The sequence below is a fragment of the Homo sapiens genome, chromosome 5 (genome assembly GCF_000001405.40).
Source record: "Homo sapiens chromosome 5, GRCh38.p14 Primary Assembly".
NCBI classification, from domain to species: domain Eukaryota; kingdom Metazoa; phylum Chordata; class Mammalia; order Primates; family Hominidae; genus Homo; species Homo sapiens.
Genome location: NC_000005.10, coordinates 112,656,428 through 112,683,089, shown reverse-complemented (window position 1 = coordinate 112,683,089; position 26,662 = coordinate 112,656,428). Strand labels below are relative to the sequence as shown.

The window sequence follows — 26,662 nt, the reverse complement described above, 5'->3', positions numbered from 1 at the left end:
CATAGGTCTTTTAGGAGGCAATAAAGGTTAAATGAGGTCATAAAGGTGGGGCCCTAACCCAATAAGGTTGGAGCCCTTATAAGAAGAGGAAGACACATCAGGTCTCTCTGCAAGCACACAGACTAAGTAAGGAGAGGTTACAGGAGCACGCAATGAGAAGGCAGCTCTCTGCAAGCCAGGAAAAGAGCTCTCGCCATAAATCAAATCGACTGGCACCTTAATCTTGAACTTCCAGTCTCCAGAGCTGTAAGTAAATAAATTTCTGTTGTTTAAGTCATCCAGTCTGTGGTATTTTGTTATAGCAACCCAAGCAGCCTAGTGGTCAGAAGGAAAAATCTAGCTAGGATTCTAGTCACCCAGTATGAGTTACTAATAAGCAATAGTCATTTGATAACTTAGTCATGCCCTAAATGGAGTGGCCATGGTGGCTAGTCTCTGCCATTTAGTGAGCTAGATAAAGATCAGTGAGAATAACTGAGGGCCCACAGCTGGAGCATAATGGAGAAAAATGGAGGAAAAGCCAGAATGAGAAAAGATGACTTACTCGACAGACATCATAATAATGCTACTAACTGCTCCTTATTTTAATGGGTAGTTTTGCCTAAACCAATTCAGCAGTGTAAATGCTTAATTCTTTCCTTCTACCAAGGGGGAAAAAAGAACTTAGTCCCTCTCAGGGGGACTTTCAGGGAGTCCTCCTTGGATAAAAGATGTTTAAGAAAGAGGCCATTTCCTAGAGTGTTTGTTAAAAAGCAAGTTCCAAGACACTACCTTCAGGGAAACACAGAAATCTGCAGTTTTTGAAAGTCAGATAATTCTGATGCAGATAGTCCTAGAAGTTGATTTTCAAAAACAGTTTTTCAGAAATGGTTGATGTTTTCACTGTACCACTTGTATACATCGAGCGAAATGCCACGTTTTAATTATATCATGACTTAGATTCAGGTCCTACTTTCCAGAAAGATGCATAATACCTATTCATACATTTATATATTTATACATACAAATAACATACAGACTGTGATTGTTTATTTCAGTATATTTATGCAGAGAAACCCAGACACATTGCTATTACTGAGACAAAGCATCTAAAGGTAGATCATGGCCCTTCCGGGATCCATGGGTTTCTGTGCTTAAAATCCTTCAGTCAAATCGTAGATGTCAGGGCTGCTAAATGCACATCCTTTCACACCTTTTAGTGGGTTGAACCCTGAAAGGAGAGAGTTCCTGTGGGCATCACCATAGGGTGTTAGAGGAAGACAGCTGTCCTTGGCTTCTGGTCAAGAATCTGCAATGAAAAATGAATGTTTCAGTACTTCTGAATAGTCTGCTTAGTAATTTGGAAAGCAGAATGCATCTCTCTGATGCTCACTAAGCATTTTTGGCAAGTAATTGAAACATATTTATCTTCTCTGACATTACCTAATGGAGCTATCTACTTTCCTGGAACATGCTGAAAGTGACTGGCTAAAATATGTGCATTTTGCAGTCTACAATAAGGTGTGTGTGTGTCCCACAGATGGAAGCAGCCCACCTTTGGCACCCAGCCTGAAAAGTGAAACTAATGAGTTCTCTAGTAGCTGTTCAGTAAGTTGTTCGTTATTTTAACCTCTGAGATCTGAGTAAGGTCTCAGATCTTTTAGGGCTGGACTCTGGGCATTAAAAAAAGTTTTAATTTAAGCCTATCAAAATATATTCCAGTTAAAAAAATATTTCATTTTAAACTGAGTGTGAAGGGAAACAGAAGTTAATTAGAAGGAATACTGTATGTGCTGTAACCATGTTTTAATTGCTGAACCCTGAGAAAGTAGTGATAGTAGAAAAATGTGACTTATTGAGACATTTATATAAACAGCTTTAAAATTAGAATAAGAGTCTATGATGATGATGATGATAATGATGATGAAGAATAATAAGAAGAAAAAGAATTGGTCAAAAATTTTTGGTTCATAACATCTTAAGAAAGTCTCATTAGACATACATGGTCTTCAAATTAAGAAAAAAAAATTAAAAAGGTAGGGAACAGTTAAAGAAAGGCGGAATCCAGGACCTCTACTTACATTTCATCAGTCCTCAAATTTATCTAAGAAATGTCACAAATCTTGGAAAGGAAAGGTGAAGCTGTGGGTTTTCATGGGTGCAGTCAAGTACGTACAGGCTCCTTCTAACTACGTGAAGAGAGATAATTCTAGGGGACAGGCTGCTTTCACTGTAGGGGCACGTTCACTACTCTGATTAAAAAGCTTGGCATGGCAAAGTTTCCAAAACCTGTCTTTACTAATTCATACCTCCCAATTGAACACCCAATACTGTCAGCCTAGTTTTTCATTACAAGAAAGGTGATAAAATCAAATATTGTTAAGATGGGCTCTTCATGTGAAAACCTATTTGGATTTGATCCAGTTTCACAGAATTTCTGAACATCTATGGAAAACTCTGAGTAAACTCAGAGTAATCAAGAGTTGCAGATGGATATAAATATATCCGTCATCCACTGTGAAAAGTGCAGCAAATACGTGTTGTTTATGCACTGGGATTCTTGTCTTTTAAGATGGGTTGCAAATATTACATGTTATGTTTTAGAGTTAAGGTTCGAGAGGAATCAGAGGAGACATAGCTAAAGCCAGTCAATATATTTTGAATTGTGACTGTTCTCATCGAAGAACCAAAAGGAATTCCCTGGGGGCAGTCTTTGAATCTCTTGTTTTAATTTTTGCTTAGGAAGTATTTATTTTCACTACTCAAAGAGAAAAAAAAAAGAGGATTTTTTTATTTCTACCCCATCCCAAAGGGGTAGAAAAGAACTGGCTGTCTTTTCCCCTATCAGAGTCTGCTATTGGTCCAGCACACTAAAAATCTCTTAAAGTGACTATATGAAAATGTGGAAAAATGGGTAGGATATAATAATAAGTTAAAGAAACTCAGGTTCTGGCTGGATGTGGTAATTCATATCTGTAATCCCAGTGCTTTGGGAGGCTGAGATGGGAGGATTTCTTGAGCCCAGGAGTTCAAGGCCAGCCTGGGCAACATTGAGAGACTCTGTCTCCATGAAGAAATTTGAAAAATTAGCCAGGCATTGGTGTTGCATGCCTGTAGTCTCAGCTACTCAGAAGGCTGAGGTTAAAAGATTGCTTGAGCTCAGGAATTTGAGGCTTTAATGAGTGAGTTATGATTGTGCCACGGCACTGCAGCCTGGGCAATAGAGTGAGATCCTGCCAAAAAAAAAAAAAGAAGAAACCCAGGTTTAAAATTGGATTCATGACATGATTATAATTATGTTGAAATTATCTATATATGCAGCTAAAACTTAAAGGAGACATGTGGAAAATGAGGCCAAATGATTTGTTGGAAAGTGAGATTTGGGATGAATAATTTTTATTCTAAATTTTCTATACAGTTATTATGTTGCTTGCAAAAAAATAACATTCTTTAAAAACTCTGACTGATGCTCGGAGTTGCCCAGATGGCCGAATAGCAACAGCTCTAGTCTGCAGCTCCCAGCATGATGGACAGAGAAGATGGATGATTTCTGCATTTCCAACTGAGGTACTTGGATCATCTCACTGGGACCAGTTGGACAGTGGGTGCAGCCCATGGAGGGCGAGCTGAAGAAGGGCAGGGCATCACCTCACCTGGGAAGCACAAGGGGTTGGGGGATTTCCCTTTCCTGGCCAAGGGAAGCCATGACAGACTACCTGGAAAAATGGGACACTCCCCACCCAAATACTGTGCTTTTCCCAAGGTCTTAGCAACCAGAAGACAAGGTGATTCTCTCCCGTGCCTGGCTCAGCAGGAGCCTTGCTCACTGCTAGCGCAGCAGTCTGAGGTTGATCTTCGAGGCGGCAGCCTGGCTGGGGAAGGGGGTCTGCCATTGCTGAGGCTTTAGTAGGTAAACAAAGCAGCTGGGAAGCTCGAACTGGGTGGAGCCCACCGCAGCTCAACATGGCCTACTGCCTCTAGACACCACCTCTGTGGGCAGGGCATAGCTGAACAAAAGGTAGCAGACAACTTCTGCAGACTTAAATACCCCTGTCTGACAGCTCTGAAGAGAGCAGTTGTTCTGCGAGCATGGCGTTTGTGCTCTGAGAACGGACATAGTACCTCCTCAAGTGGGTCTCTGACCCCCATGTAGCCTAACTGGGACACCTCCCAGTAGGGGCCAATGGACACCTTATATAGGCAGCTGCCCTCTGGGACGAAGCTTCCAGAGGAAGGATCAGGCAGCAATATTTGCTGCTGTGCAATATTTGCTGTTCTACAGCTTCCGCTGATGATACCCAGGCAAACTGGGTCTGGAGTGGAATTCCAGCAAACTCCAACAGACCTGCAGCTAAGGGACCTGACTGTTACAAGGAAAACTAACAAACAGAAAGGAATAGCACCAACATCAACAAAAAGTTCATCTACACCAAAAGCCCATCCATAGGTCACCAACATCAAAGACCAAAGGTAGATAAAACCACAAAGATGGGAGAAACCAGAGCAGAAAAGCTGAAAATTCTAAAAATCAGAGCGCCCCCTTCTCCTCCAAAGGATCGCAGCTCCTCGCCAGCAATGGAACAAAGCTGGACGGAGAATGAATTTGACGAGTTGACAGAAGCAGGCTTCAGAAGGTCGGTAATAAGAAACTTCTCTGAGCTAAAGGAGGATGTTCAAACCCATTGCAAGGAAGCTAAAAACCTTGAAAAAAGATTAGATGAATGGCTAACTAGAATAAACAGTGTAGAGAAGACCTTAAATGACCTGGTGGAGTTGAAAACCGTGGAATGAGAATTTCGTGATGCATGCACAAGCTTCAATAGCTGATTCGATCAAGTGGAAGAAAGGGTATCAGTGACTGAAGATCAAATTAATGAAATGAAGTGAGAAGGTCAGAGAAAAAAAGAGTAAAAAGAGACAAACAAAGCCTCCGAGAAATATGGACTATGTGAAAAGAACAAATCTATGTTTGACTGGTGTACCTGAAGGTGATGGGGAGAATGGAACCAAGCTGGAAAACACTCCTCAGGATATTATCCAGGAGAACTTCCCCAACCTAGCATGGCAGGCCAACATTCAAATTCAGGAAACACAGAGAACACCACAAAGATACTCTCGAGATGTGCAACACCAAGACACATAATTGTCAAATTCACCAAGGTTGAAATAAAGGAAAAAGTGTTAAGGGCAGCCAGAGAGAAAGGTCGAGTTAACCACAAAGGGAAGCCCATCAGACTAACAGTGGATCACTCGGCAGAAACCCTACAAGCCAGAAGAGAGTGGGGGCCAATATTCAGCATTCTTAAGGAAAACAATTTTCAACCCATAATTTCCTATCCAGCCAAACTAAGCTTCATAAATGAAGGAGAAATAAAATCCTTTACAAACAAACAAATGCTGAGAGATTTTGTCACCACCAGGCCTGCCTTACAAGAGCTCCTGAAGGAAGCACTCAACATGTACAGGAACAACTGGTACCAGCCACTGCAAAAACCTACCAAATTGTAAAGACCATCAATGCTATGAAGAAACTGCATAAATTAATGGGCAAAATAACCAGTGAACATCATAATGACAGGATCAAATTCACACATAACAATATTAATCTTAAATGTAAATGGGCTAAATGCCCCAGTTAAAAGACACGACAGGCAAATTGGACAAAGAGTCAATACCCATCAATGTGCTGTATTCAGGAGACCCATCTCACCTGCAAAGACACACATAGGCTCAAAATAAAGGGATGGAGGAAGATCTACCAAGCAAATGGACAGCAAAAAAAAAAAAAAAAAAAAAAAAAAAAGCAGGGGTTGCAATCCTACTCTCTGATAAAACAGACTTTAAATCAACAAAGATCAAAAGAGACAAAGAAGGCCATTACATAATGGTAAAGGGATCAATTCAACAAGAAGAGCTAACTATCCTAAATATATATGCACCCAATACAGGAGCACCCAGATTCATAAAGCAAGTCCTTAGAGACCTACAAAGAGACTTAGACTCCCACACAATAATAATGGGAGACTTTAACACCCCACTGTCAATATTAGACAGATCAATGAGACAGAAGGTTAACAAGGATATCCAGGAGCTGAACTCAGCTCTGCACCAAGCAGACCTAATGGACATCTACAGAACTCTCCGCCCCAAATCAACTGAATATACATTCTTTTCAGCACCACATCGCACTTATTCTAAAATTGACCACATAATTGGAAGTAAAGCACTCCTCAGCAAATGTAAAAGAACAGAAATTATAAAAAAACTGTCCCTCAGACCACAGTGCAATCAAACTAGAACTCAGGATTAAGAAACTCACTCAAAACCGCACAACTACATGGAAACTGAACAACTTGCTGCCGAATGACTACTGGGTACATAACGAAATGAAGGCAGAATTAAAGATGTTCTCTGAAACTAATGAGAACAAAGACACAACATACCAGAATCTCTGGGAAACATTTATAGCAGAGTGTAGAGGAAAACTTATAGCACTAAATGCTCACAAGAGAAAGCAGGAAAGATCTAAAATTGACACCTTAACATCACAATTAAAAGAACTAGAGAAGCAAGAACAAACAAATTCAAAAGCTAGCAGAAGGCAAGAAATAACTAAGATCAGAGCAGAACTGAAAGAGATAGACACACAAAAAATCCTTCAAAAAAATCAATGAATCCAGGACCTGGTTTTTTGAAAAGATCAACAAAATTGATAACTAGCAAGACTAATAAAGAAGAAAAGAAAGAAGAATCAAATAGACACAATAAAAATGATAAAGGGGATATCACCACTGATCCCATAGAAATACAAAGTACCATCAGAGAATACTATAAACTCCTCTATGCAAATAAACTAGAAAATCTAGAAGAAATGGATAAATTCCTCGACACATACACCCTCCCAAGACTAAACCAGGAAGAAGTTGAATCTCTGAATAGACCAATAACAGGCTCTGAAATTGAGGCAATAATTAATAGCCTACCAACCAAAAACAGTCCAGGACCAGACGGATTCACAGTCAAATTCTACCAGAGAAGCTGGTACCATTCCTTCTGAAATTATTCCAGTCAATAGGAAAAGAGGGAATCCTCCCTAACTCATTTTATGAGGCCAACATCATCCTGAAACTAAAGCCTGGCAGAGACACAACAAAAAAAAAGAGAATTTTAGACCAATATCCCTGATGAACATTGATGCGAAAATCCTCAAAAAAATACTGGCGAACCGAATCCAGCAGCACATCAAAAATCTTATCCACCATCATCAAGTGGGCTTCATCCTTGGGATGCAAGTCTGGTTCAACATATGCAAATCAATAAACATAATCTATCACATAAACCAAACCAACAACAAAAACCACATGATTATCTCAACAGATGCAGAATAGGCCTTTGACAAAATTCAACAGCCGTTCATACTAAAAACTCTCAATAAACTAGGTATTGATGGAATATATCTCAAAATAATAAGAGCTATTTATGACAAACCCACAGCCAATATCATACTGAATGGGCAAAAGCTGCAAGCATTCCCTTTGAAAACTGGCACAAGACAAGGATGCCCTCTCTCATGACTCCTATTCAACATAGTGTTGGAAGTTCTGGCCAGGGCAATCAGGCAAGAGAAAGAAATAAAGGGTATTCAATTAGGAAATGAGGAAGTCAAATTGTCCCTGCTTGCAGATGACATGATTGTATATTTAGAAAACCCCATCATCTCAGCCCAAAATCTCCTTAAGCTGATAAGCAAGTTCAGCAAAGTCTCAGGATACAAAATCAATGTGAAAAATCACAAGCATTCCTATACACCATTAACAGACAAACAGCCAAATCATGAGTGAACTCCCATTCACAATTGCTTCAAAGAGAATAAAATGCCTAGGAATCAAACTTACAAGCAATGTGAAGGACCTCTTCAAGGAGAACTACAAACCACTGCTCAATGAAATAAAAGAGGACACAAACACATGGAAGAACATTCCATGCTCATGGATAGGAAGAATCAATATTGTGAAAATGGCCATACTGCCCAAGGTAATTTATAGATTCAATGCCATCCCCATCAAGCTACCAATGACTTTCTTCACAGAATTGGAAAAAACTACTTTAAAGTTCATATGGAAGTGAAAAAGAGCCTGCGTTGCCAAGACAATCTTAAACAAAAAATCAAAGTTGGAGGCATCATGCCACCTGATTTCAAACTATATTACACGGCTACAGTAACCAAAACAACATGGTACTGGTACCAAAACAGATATATAGACCAATGGAACAGAACAGAGGCCTCAGAAATAACACCACCCACCTACAACAATCTGATCTTTGACAAATTGGACAAGAACAAGAAATGGGGAAAGGATTTCCTATTTAAGAAATGGTGCTGGGAAAACTGGCTAGCCATATGTAGAAAGTTAAAACTTGATCCCTTCCTTACGCCTTATACAAAAATTAATTCAAGATGGATTAAAGACTTAAATGTTAGACCTAAAACCATAAAAACCCTAGAAGAAAACCTAGCCAACACCATTCAGGACATAGGCATGGGCAAAGACTTCATGACTAAAACACCGAAAGCAATGGCAACAAAAGCCAAAATAGACAAATGGGATCTAATTAAACTAAAGAGCTTCTGCACAGCAAAAGAAACTGCCATCAGAGTGAACAGGCAACCTACAGAATGGGAGAAAATTTTTACAATCTACCCATCTGACAAAGGGCTAATATCCAGAATCTACAAAGAACTTAAACAAATTTACAAGAAAAAACCAAACAACCCCATCAAAAGGTGGGCAAAGGATATGAACAGACACTTCTCAAAAGAAGACATCTATGCAGCCAACAGACACACGAAAAAATGCTCATCATCACGGGTCATCAGAGAAATGCAAATCAAAACCACAATGAGATATCATCTCATGCCAGATAGAATGGCAGTCATTAAAAAGTCAGGAAACAACAGATGCTGGAGAGGATGTGGAGAAATAGGAACACTTTTACACTATTGGTGAGAGGGTAAATTGGTTCAACCATTGTGGAAGATAGTGTGGTGATTCCTCAAGGATCTAGAACTAGAATTACTGTTTGACCCAGCAATCCCATTACTGGGTACATACTCAAAGGGGTATAAATCATGCTACTATAAAGACACATGCACACGTATGTTTATTGCAGCACTATTCACAGTAGCAAAGACTTGGAACCAGCCCAAATGTCCACCAATGATAGACTGGGTTAAGAAAATGTGGCACATATACGCTATGGAATACTATGTAGCATAAAAAAGGATGAGTTCATGTCCTTTGCAGGAACATGGATGAAGCTGGAAACCATCATTTTCAGCAAACTATCACAAGGACAGAAAACCAAACACTGCATGTTCTCACTCATAGGTGGGAATTGAACAATGAGATAACTTGGACACAGGGCAGGGAACATCACACCCCAGGGCCTGTCAGGGGGTAGGGGGCTTGGGGAGGGATAGCATTAGGAGAAATACCTCATGTAAATGATAAGTTGATGGGTGCAGCAAACCAACATGGCACATGTATACCTATGTTTCAAACGTGCATGTTGTGCACATGTACCCTAGAACTTAAAGTGTAATAATAAAAAAAAAATCTGATTGACTAGTACACTGAAAACTATAAAATGCTTGTAAAAGAAGTTAAAGAAGACACCATAAATGAAAAGATATTCAGTGCTCATGGATTGAAAGACTAAATATTAAGATGTCAATACTACCTAAAGTGCTCTATAGATGCAATGCAATCCCTACTCCAACAACAGTTTTTGCAGAGACAGAAAAATCATCCTAGAATTCATATGGAATTTCAAAGGAGTCTGAATAGCCAAACCAATCTTGAAAAAGAAAACCAAAGTGGGAGGTCTCCTACTTCCTGATTTTCAAACTTGCTACAAAACACAGTAATCAAACCCATGTGGTACCAGTGTAAAGACTGACATATAGACCGATGGAGTCGAATAGAGAATTCAGAATCAATTTCTCTCATACAAGGTCAAATGATTTTTGACAAGGGTGCCATGACCATTCAGTGGGGTAAAGGACAGTCTTTTCAACCAGTGCTGTTGGGAACACTGGATAACCACAAGCAAAAGAATGAAGTTGGACCTTTACCTTATATCATATTCAAAAATTAACTCAAAATGGATCAATAACCTAAATGTATAAGCTGAAAGCATAAAACTCTTAGAAGAAAACATAGGGGAAAGGCTCCATGATATTGGATTTGGCAATAACTTATTGGCTATGACATTAAAAGCACAGGCAATGAAAGAAAAAATTATTTAAGTTGGACTTCATCAAAATTAAAAGCTTGCGTGCATCAAAGGACGCTATTAACAGAATGCAAAAACAACCCACAGAAGGGAAGAAAATATTGGCAAATCATGTATTTGATAATGGACCAATATCCAGAATACATAAAGAACTTCTACAACTGAACAACAACAGCAAAAAAATTGATTAAAAGTTGGACTTGAGTAGACATTTCTCCAAGGAATATATATAAATGATCCATAAGCAGGTAAAAAGATGCTTAACCTCACTAGTCATTAGGAAAATGCAAATCAAGCAACAATGAAACACCACTTTACACCCATTCGAAGGGCTATTATTAAAAAAAAATCACGCAGAAAATAACAAATGTTGGTGAGGATGTGCAGAAACTGGAACCCTTGTGCATTGCTTCTGGGAATGTAAAATGGTACGGAAATTCTTCAAAAAATTAAAAACAGAATTACCACAAGACCCAGTAATTCCACCTCTGGATATATACTCAAAAGAAGTGAAAGTAGGGACTTGAACAGATATTTATACATTCATGTTCACAACAAGCATTTCAGCAATAGTCAAAATATAGAAGTAACCCAAATGTCCATCAACAGAAGAACGGATAAATGAAGTGTGATATATACATATAATAAAATATTATTCAGCCTTAAAAAGGAAGAAAATTCTGACATGCTATAATATGAATGAACCTTTAAGACATGCTAAGTGAAATAAGTCAATCATAAATGGACAAATATTGTATGGGATTCCTCTTTGATGAGGTTCCTAGAGGAGACAAAATAACAGAGGCAGAAAGTAGAATAGTAGTTGCCAGGGGTTGGGGGAAGGAGGAAATGCAGAGTTTGTGTTGAGTGCATACAGAATTTTAATGGGGAAGATTGAAAAGTTCTGGAAATGAATGGTGGTGATGATTGCACAACAATATAAATGTACTTAATGCCATACAACTGTACACTTAAAAATGGTTAAGGTGATAAATTTTAGGTTGAGTGTATTTCACCACAATAAAAAAAATCTGATTAAATGCACATTCTTTTTTTTTCCTGTAAAAGAAATCATATCAAAGTAAATACACATTCTAATTCTCTTATTCTAGGTAGTACATCCTGGAGTCCTCATTCCTATCTTTCTCTATATTCCCATTTCCCTTATCTCTGCTCTCAATAAGATTGCTGTAGATTAATTGCCCCAATCTGAGCCCTGCAGCATTTTCTTTTCTGACCACTTCAGTTGTCAGTTTCTATGCTGATGGATTCATCTTTGAATAACAAGTATTAAATAATTGTGTAATGTGTGTCAGTGCTGTGGGCAATACAGTGGAATATGGGCCCAATGACTTGCAGCTATGCTCTGACAAGATAGGGTATTGGAAGATAGGGCACATGGGACACAGACAATACCTCCAAAGGAAGATAATGCTTGATCGACCCACTGTGAGTAATTTGGATTAGAACTGCTTTGGGAACTTTGAGAGAGAACTGGGAGAGATGAGGTTGAAACAAACTTTGGAGAATGGTAGGATTTGATTATATGGAGATGGGAAGCATTGAACTCAGAGAAAATGTGTCAGTTATTTATGAACATGTGCAGACTTTTTTAACTTTAGCACCATTGAGATTTTGTACTGTACACTTTTTATTGTGGGAGCTTTCCTGTACATTTTAGTATGCTTACCATCTTCCCTGGCCTCTACATACTAGATACCAGTAACTCCCTCCTTCACCCCAATTTTAACAATCAAAAATGTCTCCGAACACTTCAAATCTTTCCTGGAGGGCAAAAAAAAAAAAAAAAAAAGCTCCCCCTCCCCACCCCAAATTTGAAAACTGCTGCTATATGGAACCTGTCTCAGGGAAACATCAGTTTGAACAGGGCAGAAAGTCCATTCCTGAGAGTGTCTTTCAAAATCCGTGTATTCCAAGTGCTCATTTTGGCACCTGTTATGTATGGATAGTTTTTAAGTCTTTTGTTCATTACAGTTTAAATGGTGCTATACACAGGCTGATCCTACCTTTAAAAGAGTGTGGATAGGGAGAGCCTAGAAGTAGAAGGATCATTTAGGAAGCTTTTTTAATAGTTCGGAAAATAGATATAAAGACCTAAACCGAGGTTGTGATAATTGGGATAGAAAGGGGAAGGGTGCATGAATTTGTGTGAAGGAAGGACAAACAGAACTTGGGGCAGGAGGCAATACATCTGGGCAAGCTGAGTAGAAGAAAAGAGAGGCCCGGGTCTTCTTGAGAAGATAAATCAGTGTAGATGTAAACTTAAGTCTCTTGGTAACTGAGGGTTGAATGTGAACAACTTTTTGTGAACAAGTTATTAATTATTTCAAATCATGAAAATAACTTCAAGTGAAGTTGAATGTGGAATCAACTATAGGTAAAGAAGGTAGGCAAATTTAGACTTTATTTAGTCTTTTTTTTTTTTTTTTTGAAATGGAGTTTCGCTCTTGTTGCCCAGGCTGGAGTGCAATGGCACGATCTCAGCTCACTGAAACCTCTGCCTCCTGGGTTCAAGCGATTCTCCTGCCTCAGCCTCTTGAGTAGCTGGGATTACAGGCACCCACCATCACGCCTGGCTAATTTTTGTATTTTTAGTAGAGACGGGGTTTTACCATGTTGGCTAGGCTGGTCTTGAACTCCTGACTTCAAGTGATCCGCCGTCCTCGGCATCTCAAAGTGCGGGATTACAGGTGTGAGCCACCATGTCTGGCTTAGATTTTATTAGTCTTCTCTCAGAAAGAAAAGATTGTAAGAAAAAGGAGAAAAGCACTGCAAAATCTTTTTTTTCTCAGTAATACCTATTTGAGATGTAAAGATGAATAATCTCTGATTTGGGATTTGGAAATCTGCATTTGGAACTCAGCGTGTCCCTTTAAAAGCTCTCAGGGAATTAAAAACTCTGTGCTTTTAAAAATTCTAAACCATTTCTCCATTTTCACAGAGGAAATACAGACAAAGCAAGGGCAAAATTTCAGCATAAGGGCCTCCCCCTGGCTCACAGCCTTGGATGCTGCTAAGCTGGTGAGCATCGTATTGTCATTTGAGAAAGCCAGCTGCATAGCTAGATAGAGTGAGCCTGTCTCTTCAATTCCAAGACTGTAATTATGCTAAAAAGGGATCTTGCAGCAGTGAATATAAAGAGAAGCCTGGGAATATATCTCCTACACTAAACAACTTTATGGTTGAAAGGAAGCAATTACTAAGAACAAGACGAGACTAAGTAAAAACAGCATAACTTTCCAACTTGGGTATTGACAGTATTGTGCTGACCTCAAACAGTCTTTGCTTCCTCCCTGCAACCCACCGAAAGCCATAATAAGTCCAGCTTGCTAGCCTGATTTTTAGATCAAGTGGAAATAATTTTTAAAAATGAAACTGCCCTCCCCTCACTCAATTTAAAGCAACTTTCTAGATGGACTTAATAATATCAGTAATCCTACCGAATAGTTATCCCTGTCACCAAGACTTAGAAAGATATTAGGTAGTCACGTAAGCCCTTCGCTACTTGATGAATCAGCTCTACCTTCCTAAGTTATCACCATCCAGTTGCAAGTAGAGCTGTCTGGGGATAGGACAGATATGAAAACAGTAGAAAAGGAGGATTCCTAATTCTTTTACTTTATGATTGAAGGTGGCAGAAAAAGGAAATTGGGTATAGAACAAGATTATGTATAAGATGGAAAACTGAAAATTAGATCCACCTACAATAGTGCACCCAGCCACCTCCTCATTGTGACTTTGCAGTCTGCAATTGAACAGGTTCATTCTAACCCTCTATCTGCAAAGTGTATTATAAGGTTATGTGAAAGCAGGTGGTGTTTGAGAACAAGCACATTCAGGCCAGGTCTGCACAAGTTAATTAGATCACTTAGCTCTCTCGATAATTCTAGAACCCAAAATATCAACTTTTACCTAAATTATACAGATGGTCATGCTTGGTGACATTTATCACTCGCTTTTCTGGAGGTCTTACCCAAAGCATAAGACAATAGGAAGAAATAGGATAGGAGATATTGAGAAGAAATAATAAAAAATGTCATGATCTTTAAATGATATGATTGTCTTTCTAGAAAATTTAAGACAAAGAAAAACAATGAGGTTTAATGAGAGATATCAGTAAGAAAGTCAGGAATGGCTATAAACATGCCAAAATCAATAGGTTTCTTACACATCAGCAATAATATTATAAAATATGATGTGTAAGTGAGAGGAATTATTTAATTAAATCAAGATATTTGCATTCAATGTAACTGTATACTACAGTCATTACAAAGATGGTGTACATCTCTATAACATGACATGGAAAGAGATCTAAAACATTTGGTAAAAGGAAATAGCAAAGTCCAAACAGTGTGTAAAGTATCAAAGTAAATAAAATTATATATGTATACATGTATGTGCATATGGGTGTGTGTACGTGTTTATACACTCATGTGCCACATAATATTTTTGGTCAACGGTGAACCACATATATGACGGAGATCCAAAAATATTATGATGGAGCTGAAAAATTCCTATTGCCTAGTAATGTGGTAGCCATCATAGTGTCTTCGCACAAGGCATTGCTCATCTGTTTGTGGTGATGCTGTTGTAAACAAACCTACTGCACTATGAGTCATATACAAAGTATGGCAATACAATTATGTACTGTATAATACTTGATAATGATAACAAACAACTGTTACTGGTTTATGTGTTTACTGTATTACACTTTTTATCATTATTTTAGAGTATACTCCTTCTACTTATATATATTAAAAGGTTGATTGTAGGCAGGGCGCAGTGGCTCATGCCTGTATTCCCAGCACTTCGGGAGGCCAAGGCAGGTGGATCACTTGAGGTCAGGAGTTCGAGACCAGCCTGGCTAACATGGTTAAACCCCGTCTCTACTAAAAATACAAAAATTAGCCGAGCATGGTGGCACGCACCTGTAATCCCAGTTACTCAGGAGGCTGAGGCAGGAGAATCGCTTGTACCTGGAAGGTGGAGGTTGCAGTGAGCCGAGATCGTGCCACTGCACGCCAGCCTGGGCATCAGAGAGAGACTCCGTCTCAAAATAAATAAATAAATAAATAAAAAGATAAAAAAATTAACTGTAAAACAGCCTCAGAAAGGTCCTTCACAAGGTATTCCAGAAGAAGGCATTGTTGTCACAGGAGATGACAACTCTATGTGTGTTATTGCCTCTGAAGACCTTCCAGTGGGACAAGATGTGTAGGAGGAAGACAGTGATATTATCCTGACCCTGCTTAGACCTAGGCTGATGTGTATGTTTGTGTCTTGGTTTTTAACAAAAGCTTAAAAAGTTAAAAAAAAAAAAAAGGAAAAAAGCTTATAAAATAAGGATAGAAAGAAAATATTTTTGTATAGCTGTGCAATGTTTTTGTGTGTATGTGTGGGTTTTTTAATTTTATTTTTTAGAGACAGGGTTTTACTATGTTTCCCAGGCTGGTCTAGAACTCCTGGGCTCAAGCGATCTTCCCGCCTCAGCTTCCCAAAGTGCTGAGATTACAGGTGTGAGCCACCATGTCCAGCAGTGTTTTAAGCTAAGTGTTACTATAAAAGAGTCAAAAAGTTTACAAATTTAAACATTTATAAAGTAAAAATGTTACAGTAAACTAAGGCTAATTTATTATTAAAGCAAGAACAAATTTTAAAATACATTGAGTGTAGCCTAAGTATACAGTGTTTATAAAGTCTACAGTAGCACACAGTAATGTCCTAGGCCTTCACAGTCACTCACCACTCACTCACTGACTTACCCAGAGCAACTTCTGGTCCTGTAAGCTCCATTTGTGGTAAGTGCCTTACACGAGTGCACCATTTTTTTAAAATCGTTTATGCTGCGTTTTTATTGTGTCTTTTCTATGTTTAAATACACTAATACTTACCATTGTGCTACAGTTGCCTACAGTATTCAGCACAGTAACATGCTGTACAGATTTGTAGCCTAGGAACAATAGACTGTATCTATATATACAGCTATATATAGCCTAGGAGAATTAGATTATATATTTGTAGTCTAGGTGTGCAGTCGGCTATACCATCTCAGTTTGTGTAAGTATGCTCCATTATGTTCACACAATGATGAAATTGCTTAATTTCTCAGAATGAAAAATGTATTCCTTCAGCAGGGATACATTCATTTCTGAGAACTATCCCTGTTGTTAAGTGACACATGACTGGATATAAAGTATACATAATACATACATATGTATCTGGAAAAGAATCTGGAAGAACATAACCCATCCCTGTAAAGTGGTTTCCTTAGGGGTGGGGAAGAGCTAGAATTATGGCTTTCTCTTTCTTTAGTCTACATTTCTCTAATATTTTTACATGACAATTATGTATTATATTTGAAATCCAAGGAAGAGACCAAGTGCAGTGGCTCACATTTGTAATCCCAACACTTTGGGAGGCCAAGGCAGGAGGATTGCTTGAGCCCAGGAGTTCAAGACCAGCCTGGGTGACATAGGGAGTCCTAGTGTCTTAAAAAAAAGAAATTATCCAGGCAAGGTGATGCATGCCTGTGGTCCCAGCTACTCAGGAGGATGAGGACGGAGAATCGCTTGAGCCTGGGAGAGCGAGGCTGCAGTGAGGTGTGATAGCACCACTGTACTCCAGCCTGGGTGGCAGAGCTAGACTCTGTCTCAAAAACAAACACACAAAAAGCCAAAGAAAGCAATGAATACTAAAAATCTAAAAAAGAAAAATTAAATGTTAAGAATCTTCTTGAGCTCTCCTTTTATAGAGAATTTAAAAGCTTACCTCCTTAAGACTGAAATTGAAAATGAATAGCTACAAAAATGGGAATAGAATGTTCTAAGCTTCAGGTCAGTAAGAAAAGTAACTATGGGCTAATATTGTTAAATCAAAACATATTTTAAAAGATACACCCAGCACTGGAAATTTCCTATTTTCTCTAGTGTTTAAATCAACCTCTTTAAACATTATATATTTTTCTGATTATGTCAGTAATTCATGTTTATTCCAAGAATTTGGAAAATACCAAAAAGAACAAAGAAGGAAACAGAAATAACCTATAATCATGTTTTTCAGAGATAACCAAAATTAATATTAATATTTTTGTGTATATATATTACCCTTTAGTCTTTTAATTAACACATATGTATATTTTTAAAAAAGGGTTCATAACTATTTTCATCTGACAACACATAATGAAGGTGTCCCCTTGCCATTCTTTGGAATAGCATTGAATATTACCATTACTTCTTATTTTTGTAATAAATATTACTATAATCCATATATTTATGTTAAATTTTTTATTAAAAAAATTAGACACAGGCTGGGCGTGGTGGCTCATGCCTGTAATCCTAAGCATTTTGGGAGGCCGAGGTGGGCGATTGCCTGAGCTCAGGAGCTTGAGACCAGCCTGGGCAACACGGTGAAACCCCGTCTCTACTAAAATACAAAAAATTAGCTAGGCGTGGCAGTGTGTGCCTGTAGTTCCAGCTACTCAGGAGACTGAGGCAGGAGAATCGCTTGAACCCAGGAGGCGGGGGTTGCAGTGAGCCAAGATCACTCCACTGCACTCCAGCCTGGGCAACAGAGGGAGACTCTGCTTCAAAAACAAACAAACTAAAAACATAGATGAATCAAAGGACTTTTTCTGTGTTATTTACAGCTATGTCCCCAGTGCAGGGGACAGAGCCTGATTCTTTGTAGAGAATAAACATTAATGAATGAATCTCATTTCCCCAGGCCAGTAGGGCTTAAGCCTTAGTATATATAAGTATTATCAGGAGAACTTGTTAATGCACAATTCCAAGATCTCAGCCCCAGAGATATTGATTCAGATGTCTTTGGTGGGGCCGGAGTGATTCTGATACTGGGACCAACCTTTGGGAAACACTGCCTTAAGCTAAATACATGGAAGAATTACTGGATCAAAAGCATCAAGGTTTTGAAGACCTCTGATTTATATTGTTAATTTACCTTCCTGAAAAGTTTTGCCAACTTACTACTTTAAAGCAACCTCCTTCTACCTTGTGACATGTAAAATTGCCTATTTCATGGTCTTTCATCAACACTGTGTATTATTGATTTTAAAAATCATGACTGATTTGATAGGAACAAGGAAGAAAAAATAAACAGCTTCTCATTAAACATACAGAAAGTCATAAAAGAAAGTCACAATCATCTAAATTCACACCATCTGGAATGAATTACTCTTACCTCTTGGCATAATTCTTTCTAACCTTTTTTTCTTCTGCTTTATTGAGGCATAGTTGACAAATACAAATTGTATATATTCAAGGTGTACGAAGTGATGATTTGATATACATATACACTGTGAAATGATTGCCACAACTAAGCTGATTAACATATCTGCCACCTCACATAGTTACCTTTTTTTGTGGTGAAAATACTTAAGATCCACTCAGTAAATTTCAAGTACACAGTACATTATTATTAACTATAGTTACCATGCTATACTTTAGGTCCCCAGAAATTATTCATCTTATAACTGCAAGTTTGTTCCCTTTGATCAATATCTACTTTTTCCACTCCCTCAATTCTTGCTTTTTAAAGAAAACAATCATCATTGTTGTTTTAAAAATGGTACATGCTTATTATAGAGAATGTGTATAATGAAAAAGAACAAATACGAAGGTTAAAAACAGGCCAGATTGCACCACGTAGACATAATTAGACTTAATATAAGAAATGACTTTAGACATCTTTCTTTCTCTTCTTTCTTTTATTTACTTTTTTAGTTTTAATTTTTTAAAACTTTCAGGTTCGGGGGTACATGTGCAGGTTTATTATACAGGTAAATAGTGTGTCATGGAGCTTTGGTGTACAGATAATTTTGTCACGCAGGTAATAAGCACAGTTCCTGATGGGTAGTTTTTCCATCTCTCCCTCCTCCCACCCTACATCCTCAAGTAGGCCCCAGAATCTGTTGTTCCCTTCTTTGTGTCCACGTATATTCAATGTTTAACTCCCACTTATAAGTGAGAACATGTGATATTCTGTTCCTGTGTTAGTTCACTTAGGATAATGACCTCCAGCTCCATCCATGTTGCCGCAAAGGACATGATCTCATTTTTTTTTTTTTTAATGGCTGTGCGGTATTCTATAGTGTATATGTGCCACATTTTAATTATCCAGTCTGTCACTGAAGGTCATTTAGGTTGATTCCATGTTTTTGCTATTGTGAATAGTGCTGCAATAAACATATGCATGCACAAGTCTTTATGGTATAATAGAGCTATTTATATTCCTTTGGGTATTGTATTCGTCTGTTTTCATGCTATTGATAAAGACATATCTGAGACTGGGAAGAAAAAGAGATTTAATTGGACTTATAGTTCCACATGGTTGGAGAGCCCTCAGAATCATGGTGGGAGGAAAAAGGCACTCTTACATGGCAGTGGCAAGAGAAAATGAGGAAGAAGCAAAAGCAGAAAGCCCTGATAAACCCATCAGACCTTGTGAGACTTATTCACTATCATGAGAATAGCATGGGGAAGACCGGCCTCCATGATTCTATTACCGCCCCCTGGGTCCCTCCCACAACATGTGGGAATACTGGGAGATATGATTCAAGTTGAGATTTGGGTGAGGAGATAGCAAAACCATATCAGGTATATACCCATTAATGAGATTGCTGGATCAAATGGTAATTCTGTTTTAAGTTCTTTGAGAAATCATCACACTGCTTGCCACAGTGGCTGAACTAATTTACATCTCCAACAGCATGTATAAATGTTCTCTTTTCTCTGCAACCTCTGCAGCATCTGTTATTTTTTGACTTTTTAATAATAGCCATTCTAACTAGTGCAAGATGGTATCCTTGTGGGTTTGATTTGTATTTCTCTAATGATTAGTAATGTTGAGCATCTTCTCATATGCCCTTTGACCACATGCATGCCTTCTTTTGAAAAGTGTCTGTTCATCCCACTTTTTAATGGGATTGTTTGTTTTTTCCTGTTAATTTGTTCAGGTTCCTTATAGATTCTGGATATTAGACCTTTGTCAGATATACAGTTTGCAAATATTTTCTTCCATTCTGTAGGCTGTTTACTCTGTCGATAGTTACTCTTTAGTTTAATTAGGTCCCATTTGTCAATTTTTGTTTTTGTTGCAATTGCTTTTGGCATCTTCATCATGAAATCTTTGCTGGGGCCTATGTCCAGAATGGTATTTCCTAGGTTGTTGCCCAAGGTTTTTATAGTTTTAGGTTTTGCATTTAAATCTTTAATCCATCTTGAGTTGATTTTTGTATATGGTGTAAGAAAGGGGTCCAGTTTCAGTCTTCTGCATATGGCTAGCCAGTTATCCTAGCATGATTTACTGAATAGGGAGTCCTTTCCCCATTGCTTGTTTTTGTTGATTTTGTGGAATATCAGATGATTGTAGGTGTGTGACATAGTTTCTGGGCTCTCTATTCTGTTCCATTGATTCATGTATCTATTTTTGTAGCAGTACCATGATGTTTTGGTTACTGTAGCGTTGTAGCACAGTTTGAAATGTAAATAGTGAAATGACACTGGCTTTTTTTTTCTTAGGATTGCCTTGGCTATTCCGGCTCTTTTTGGGTTCGACATGAATTTTATTGATCTGCATATGTTGAAACCTGGCATCCCAGGGATAAAGCACCACTTGATCGTGGTGGAGTAGCTTTCTGATGTGCTGCTAGATTTGTTTTTGTAGTATTTTGTTGAGGATTTTTGCATCTATGTTCATCTTTTGCCTGATGTTTTTGTATGTGTCTGTGTGTTTCTGCCAGGTTTTGGTATCAGTATGATGCTGGCCCCATAGGATGAGTTAGGGAAAAGTCCTTTCTCCTTATGTTTTGGCAACAGTTTTAGAAGGAATGGTACCAGCTCTTCTTTATATGTCTGGTAGAATTTGTCCGTGATTCCGTCTAGTCTTGGGTTTTTTATGTTGGTAGCCTTTTTGTTTTTACTGATTCAATTTTAGAACTCATTATTGTTTGGTTCAGGGATTCAATTTCTTCCTGGTTCAATCTTGGCATATTTCCAGGAATTATCAATTTCTTCTAGGTTTTCTAGTTTGTGTGCATAGAGGTGTTCATAGTAGTCTCTCAGAATTTTTTTTTGTATTTCTGTTGGGTTAGTGGTAATGTCCTCTTTGTCATTTCTCATTGTTTTTATTTGGCTCTTCTCTTATGTTTTCTTTGTTAGTCTAGCTAGCAATCTATCAGTCTTATTTATTCTTTCAAAGAATCCAACTCCTGGATTCACTTATCTTTTGTATGGTTTTCCCACATCTCAATTTCCTTCAGTTCAGCTTCGATTTTGGTTATTTCTTGTCTTCTTCTAGCTTTGGGGTTGGTTTGCTCTGGCTTCTCTAGTTCTTTTAGTTGTGATGTTAGGTTGTTAATGTGAGATCTTTCTAACTTTTTGATGTGGGCATTTAGTGCTATAAATTTCCCTCTTAACACCACTTTAGCTGTGTCCCAGATATTCTGGTATGTTGTTTGTTTGTTCTCATTAGTATCATAGAACTTCTTAATTTCTGCCTAATTTCATTATTTACTCAAAAGTCATTCGGGAGCAGATTGCTTAATTCCCTTGTAATTGCATGGTTTTGAGTGATTTTTTTTAAAGTCTTGATTTCTATTTTTATTATGCTGTTGTCTGAGAGTGTGTTTGGTATGATTTTGGTTATTTTGCATTTGCTGAGGATTGTTTTATGTTTGATTGTTGGTCAATTTTAGAGTATGTGCCATATGGCGAAGAGAAGAATGTATATTCTATTGTTTTGGGGTAGAGAGTTCTGTAGATGTCTGTTAGGCCCAGTTGGTCAAGTGTCAAGCTCAGGTCCTGAATATCTTTGTTAGTTTTCTGTCTTGATGATCTGTCTAATACTGTCAGTGGGGTGTTGATGTCTCTATTTATTGTGTGTGTGGGTTCTAAGTCTCTTCATAGGTCTCTAAGAACTTGCTTTGTGAATCTGGGTCATCCTGTTTTGAGTGCATATGTATTTAGGATAATTAGGTCTTCTTGTTGAATTGAACCTTTTACCATTATGTATTGCCCTTCTTTGTCTTTTTTGACCATTGTTGTAATGCCCTTCTTGTCTTTTTGACCATTGTTGGCTTATTGTCTGTTTTGTCTGAAATTACAATGGAAACCTCTGCTTTTTTTCTGTTTTTTCTTTGCTTGGTAATTTTTTCTCCATCCCTTTACTTTGAGGCTATGGCTGTCATTGCACGTGAGATGGGTCTCTTGAAGACAGCATACAGTTGGGTCTTGCTTCTTTATCCAACTTGCCATTCTGCCTTTAAATTGGGGCATTTAGCCTGTTTACATTCAAGGTTAATATTGACATGTACAGATTTGATCCTATCATCATGTTGTTTAGCTGGTTGTTATGCAGACTTAATTGTGTGGCTGCTTTGTAGTGTCAGTGGTCTATATACTTAAGTGTATTTTTGTGGTAGCCAGTAATGGTCTTTCCTTTTGACATTTAGCACTCCCTTAAGGACCTCTTGTAAAATAAGTCTAATGGTAACCAATCCCCCTAGCATTTACTTGTCCGAAAAGGATTTTATTTCTCTTTCACATATGAAGCTTAGTTTGGCTGGATGTGAAATTCTTGGTTGGAATTTCTTTTCTTTATGAATATTAAATATAGGCCCCCAATTTCTTCTGGCTTGTAGCATTTCTGCTGAAAGGTCTGTTTTTAGCTTGATGGGATTCCCTTTGCAGGTGACCTGACCCTTCTCTCTAGCTGCCTTTAACATTTTGTCTTTAATTTTGACCTTGGAGAATCTGATGACTATGTGTCTTGTGGATGATCATCTTGAATAGTATCTTGCAGGGGTTCTCTGCATTTCCTGAATTTGAATGTTGGCCTCTCTGGTGCACTTGGGGACATTCTCATGGATGATATTCTCAAATATGTTTTCCAAGTTGCTTGCTTTCTCTTCCTCTATTTCAGGTATGCCAATGAATCATACATTTGGTCTCTATACATAATCCCATATTTTTCAGAAATTTTCTTCATTCTTCTTTATTATTTTTTATTTATTTTTGTCTGACTGATTTATTTCAGAGAACTTGTCTTTGAGCTCTAAAATTCTTTCTGCAGTTTTGTTGATTCTGCTGTTAATACTTGTGGTTGTATTATGAAATTCTTGAAGTGAGTTTTTCAGTTCTATCAGATCCGTTTGGTTCTTTCTTAAGATGGCCATTTCATCTTTACTGCCCTGTGTCATTTTATTGTGTTCCTTAGATTTTTTTTGGACTGGGTTTTGACTTTCTCCTGAATGTCAATGATCTTCTTTCCTATCCATAATCTGAATAATATTTATGTCTGTCATTTCAGTCACTTCAGATTGGTTAAGAACAGGGGGACTAGTGTGATTATTTGGAGGTAAGAAAACACTCTGACTCTTTGAGTTGACAGAGTTCCTGAGCTGGTTCTTTCTCATCTCTGTAGGCTGGGCTGGTGATCCTTCAATGTTTTAAGTTGCTGTCCTTTGAATGTTTTTTTTCTTTTTATCTTCTTTGATACCCTTGGGGGTTTGATTGTGGTAAAAGGTGGGTTCAGTCAACTGAGTTCATTACTGGAAGATTTTAGGGAACCAAGGCCCAGGTCAACACCTCTGGTTTGCATGTTCTAGCTTTGTGGGGCTGGTACCAGGTCCCTGCCTTTGTTCTCTGGCCCTTTGAAATTAGGAACCTGCTGCACTGGAGGAGCCAAGGTGTTCTTGGTCTACTGGCCACAACACTCCAATGAGTGGTGACAGCCAAAGTGCTTCACAGGGGGTGCCAGCAGCCATGGCAGCATGGCATAGTGCGTGTGCCTACACATATTTCTATGCATGTCTACAGGTGGATGAATAAAAGATAGACAAATAGATGGCTGCTGGCTTGTTGAAGAACAGGAGTGGAGTACTTTTGTAAAAGTTGTCAGAATAAAAATAGTCCCTTGTGTTTAAAAAAAAAACAACAAAAACTCTGACAAATAGAGCCAAGGAAGGCCATGGAGAGAAGGGTTCACATGCATAAATACTTGGTGACAAAAACTGTCACAAAAGACTGCAAAAACCACAACCTTGTACAAAGGCCATCACCACCTTACACAAAAAATACTTTTGCGAGAATATCTACCCCCAACTGCCTGTCCAAACTTGGACTGGTGTCACCCTTGTTATTGATCCTTGTAACCCAAGGAAAATTATCTCAAAACAATTATGTAATCCTCCTCATTTTTCATTTAAAAGCCTTCGTCTTCCTTTACCCCCTTGAATATGCGTATAGTTTACGTGGCACACATATTCCCATTGCAATGCTTTATTCCTGAATAGGTATAATTTTCTTTTAGAGACTCTGTCTCTGTTATTTAGGTTGACACTTTTATAAAAGTGGAAACATACTACAGATAATCATGGGTATGCTATCTTTTATATTACCTGGGCTCTACTCTGTCTTCTGGGATTTTGTTAATTGTTCTATATCAGGGTTCATACTTCCCATTTGAGCATGTGTCCTGTTCTTTTCATTGGTTCTTAGGTTGGGTTATCTCAGAAGCAGAACCTGAGACAAGAAAGTGAGTGGAAGCAGTTTATTTGGGAGAAAGTCCCAGGAAGCACTGGTAGGTGAGTGGAAAAAGTGAGGAAGGGAAGGGAAGAAAGCCAGTAAAGGGTGAGCCAGTAAAAGGTTACTTTTGTGGGCCATAGGAGCAGCTCAATCCCACCAGGGATCTCTGGGAGGCAGTGCAGAACACATATCAGAGTTACTGCAATTGAGAGTGGAGAAATTGGATATTTGTCCCACCTGTTGTCAGTCATTGGTTGAGCATTGCTGGAAGGAGGCATTAACTTCCCAGCACTTTCTGCCTGCCCCACAAGAGGCCAAATGGGCTCTGCTGATCAAAAGAACCCTCAGAGGCTGGGTGTGGTGGCTCACGCCTGTAATCCCAGCACTTTGAGGGACCAAGGCAGGCGGATCACTCGAGGTCAGGAGTTCAAGACAAGCCTGGCCAACATGGTGAAACCCCATATCTACTAAAAATACAAAAAATTAGCGGGATGTAGTAGCACGTGCCTGTAGTCCCAGCTACTTGGGAGGCTGAGGCAGGAGAATTGCTTGAATCTGGGAGGTGGAGGTTGCAGTGAACCAAGATCATGCCACCTGCACTCCAGCCTGGGTGACAGAGCGAGACTCTGTCTCAAAAACAGAACAAAACAAAACAAAACAAAACAAAACAAAGCAGAACAACTCTCAGCTATAGGTGGTTGCAGTTGGAAGCTCAAAAACCAGATATAGGAATTGTGAATGCTGAAGGGGTGTGGGCAGGGCCCCAACAGTGTTGGTATTACTCGGGGGTTTTGGATTGTTTTCCTAATTCAGTCTGGAACCCTGGAGCCTCTCATACTTTTCAGAGCATCAGAGCCATTGCTCACTTCTCTATTTATCCCTTTTCCTTCAGCATTCATTCCCATCATTTCTCAGTCAGAAGATGAGAGAGATACACATATGCACTCAGTACATATATTCTATCTTTATCTGGAGGTTTTGGTAAGAGTCCTCAAGATTTTGTTGACTGTCTTGTACTGTTTCTGGGGGCAGCAGTAAAGGTAGGAGCTGAGCCTTCCTGTGTATCTGGCTTTTCTGTTCTGTTCTAGAAGTTGGTGCTCCTCCCAAGCCCTTCCTGCCAGTTACCTCTCACAGTTTTTTAAGTTATCATATGATGATTTAAAAATGTGTCCACAAATTCTTTCACATTCTTCCTCCAAAGGGCAGAGGCTAATTCCCCTCCTCCTGAGTGTGGGCTGGACTTGATGATTCTCTTCTTTTTAATTAATTAAATTATTTATAGAGATGAGGTCTCGCTATGTTGGCCAGGTTGGTCTTGAACTCCTGGCCTCAAACAATCCTCCTGCCTTGGCCTTCCAAAATGCTAGGATTACAGGTGTGAGCCACCATGCCTGGCCTTGATGATTCTCTTCTAATGAATAAAATACAGTGTAAGTAAGGGTATGTGACTAGCAGATCAAAAGCATCCCGATTCCCCCCAGCTTACACTCTTGGATCACTGACTCTGAGGGAAGCCAACTACCCTATTGTGAAGCTACACACCAGCTCTGAAGTGAGATCCACAAGATGATTCTGTGAGCCGTCACAAGGAATGAAAGCCTCCAGACAACAGCTGCATGAGACAGTTAGAAAGAGGACCCTCTAGCACCTGTCAAGTCTCTAGATGGCAAAACCTGAGCCAGAACCACCCAGCTAAGCTTCTCCCAGGTTCTTGGCTCACAAAAGCTGTGAAAAGAAATGTTTGTTCTTTTAAGCCATTGAGTTTTGGGGTAATTTGTTAAGTGGCAGTAGATAACTATTAATAATAAAATTGTATTAGATTTTTC

General features: G+C 38.6%; 1 long non-coding RNA gene across 1 annotated transcript; it reads left to right on the top strand.

Annotated features, from left to right (window-relative positions):
* The first annotated feature begins 201 nt into the window (after nt 1-201).
* LOC102467216 (uncharacterized) lies at nt 202-26,662 on the top strand. The gene is made up of 3 exons (NR_104673.1): nt 202-246; nt 24,810-24,895; nt 26,318-26,662. It is a non-coding gene; the product is annotated as an uncharacterized LOC102467216 (long non-coding RNA).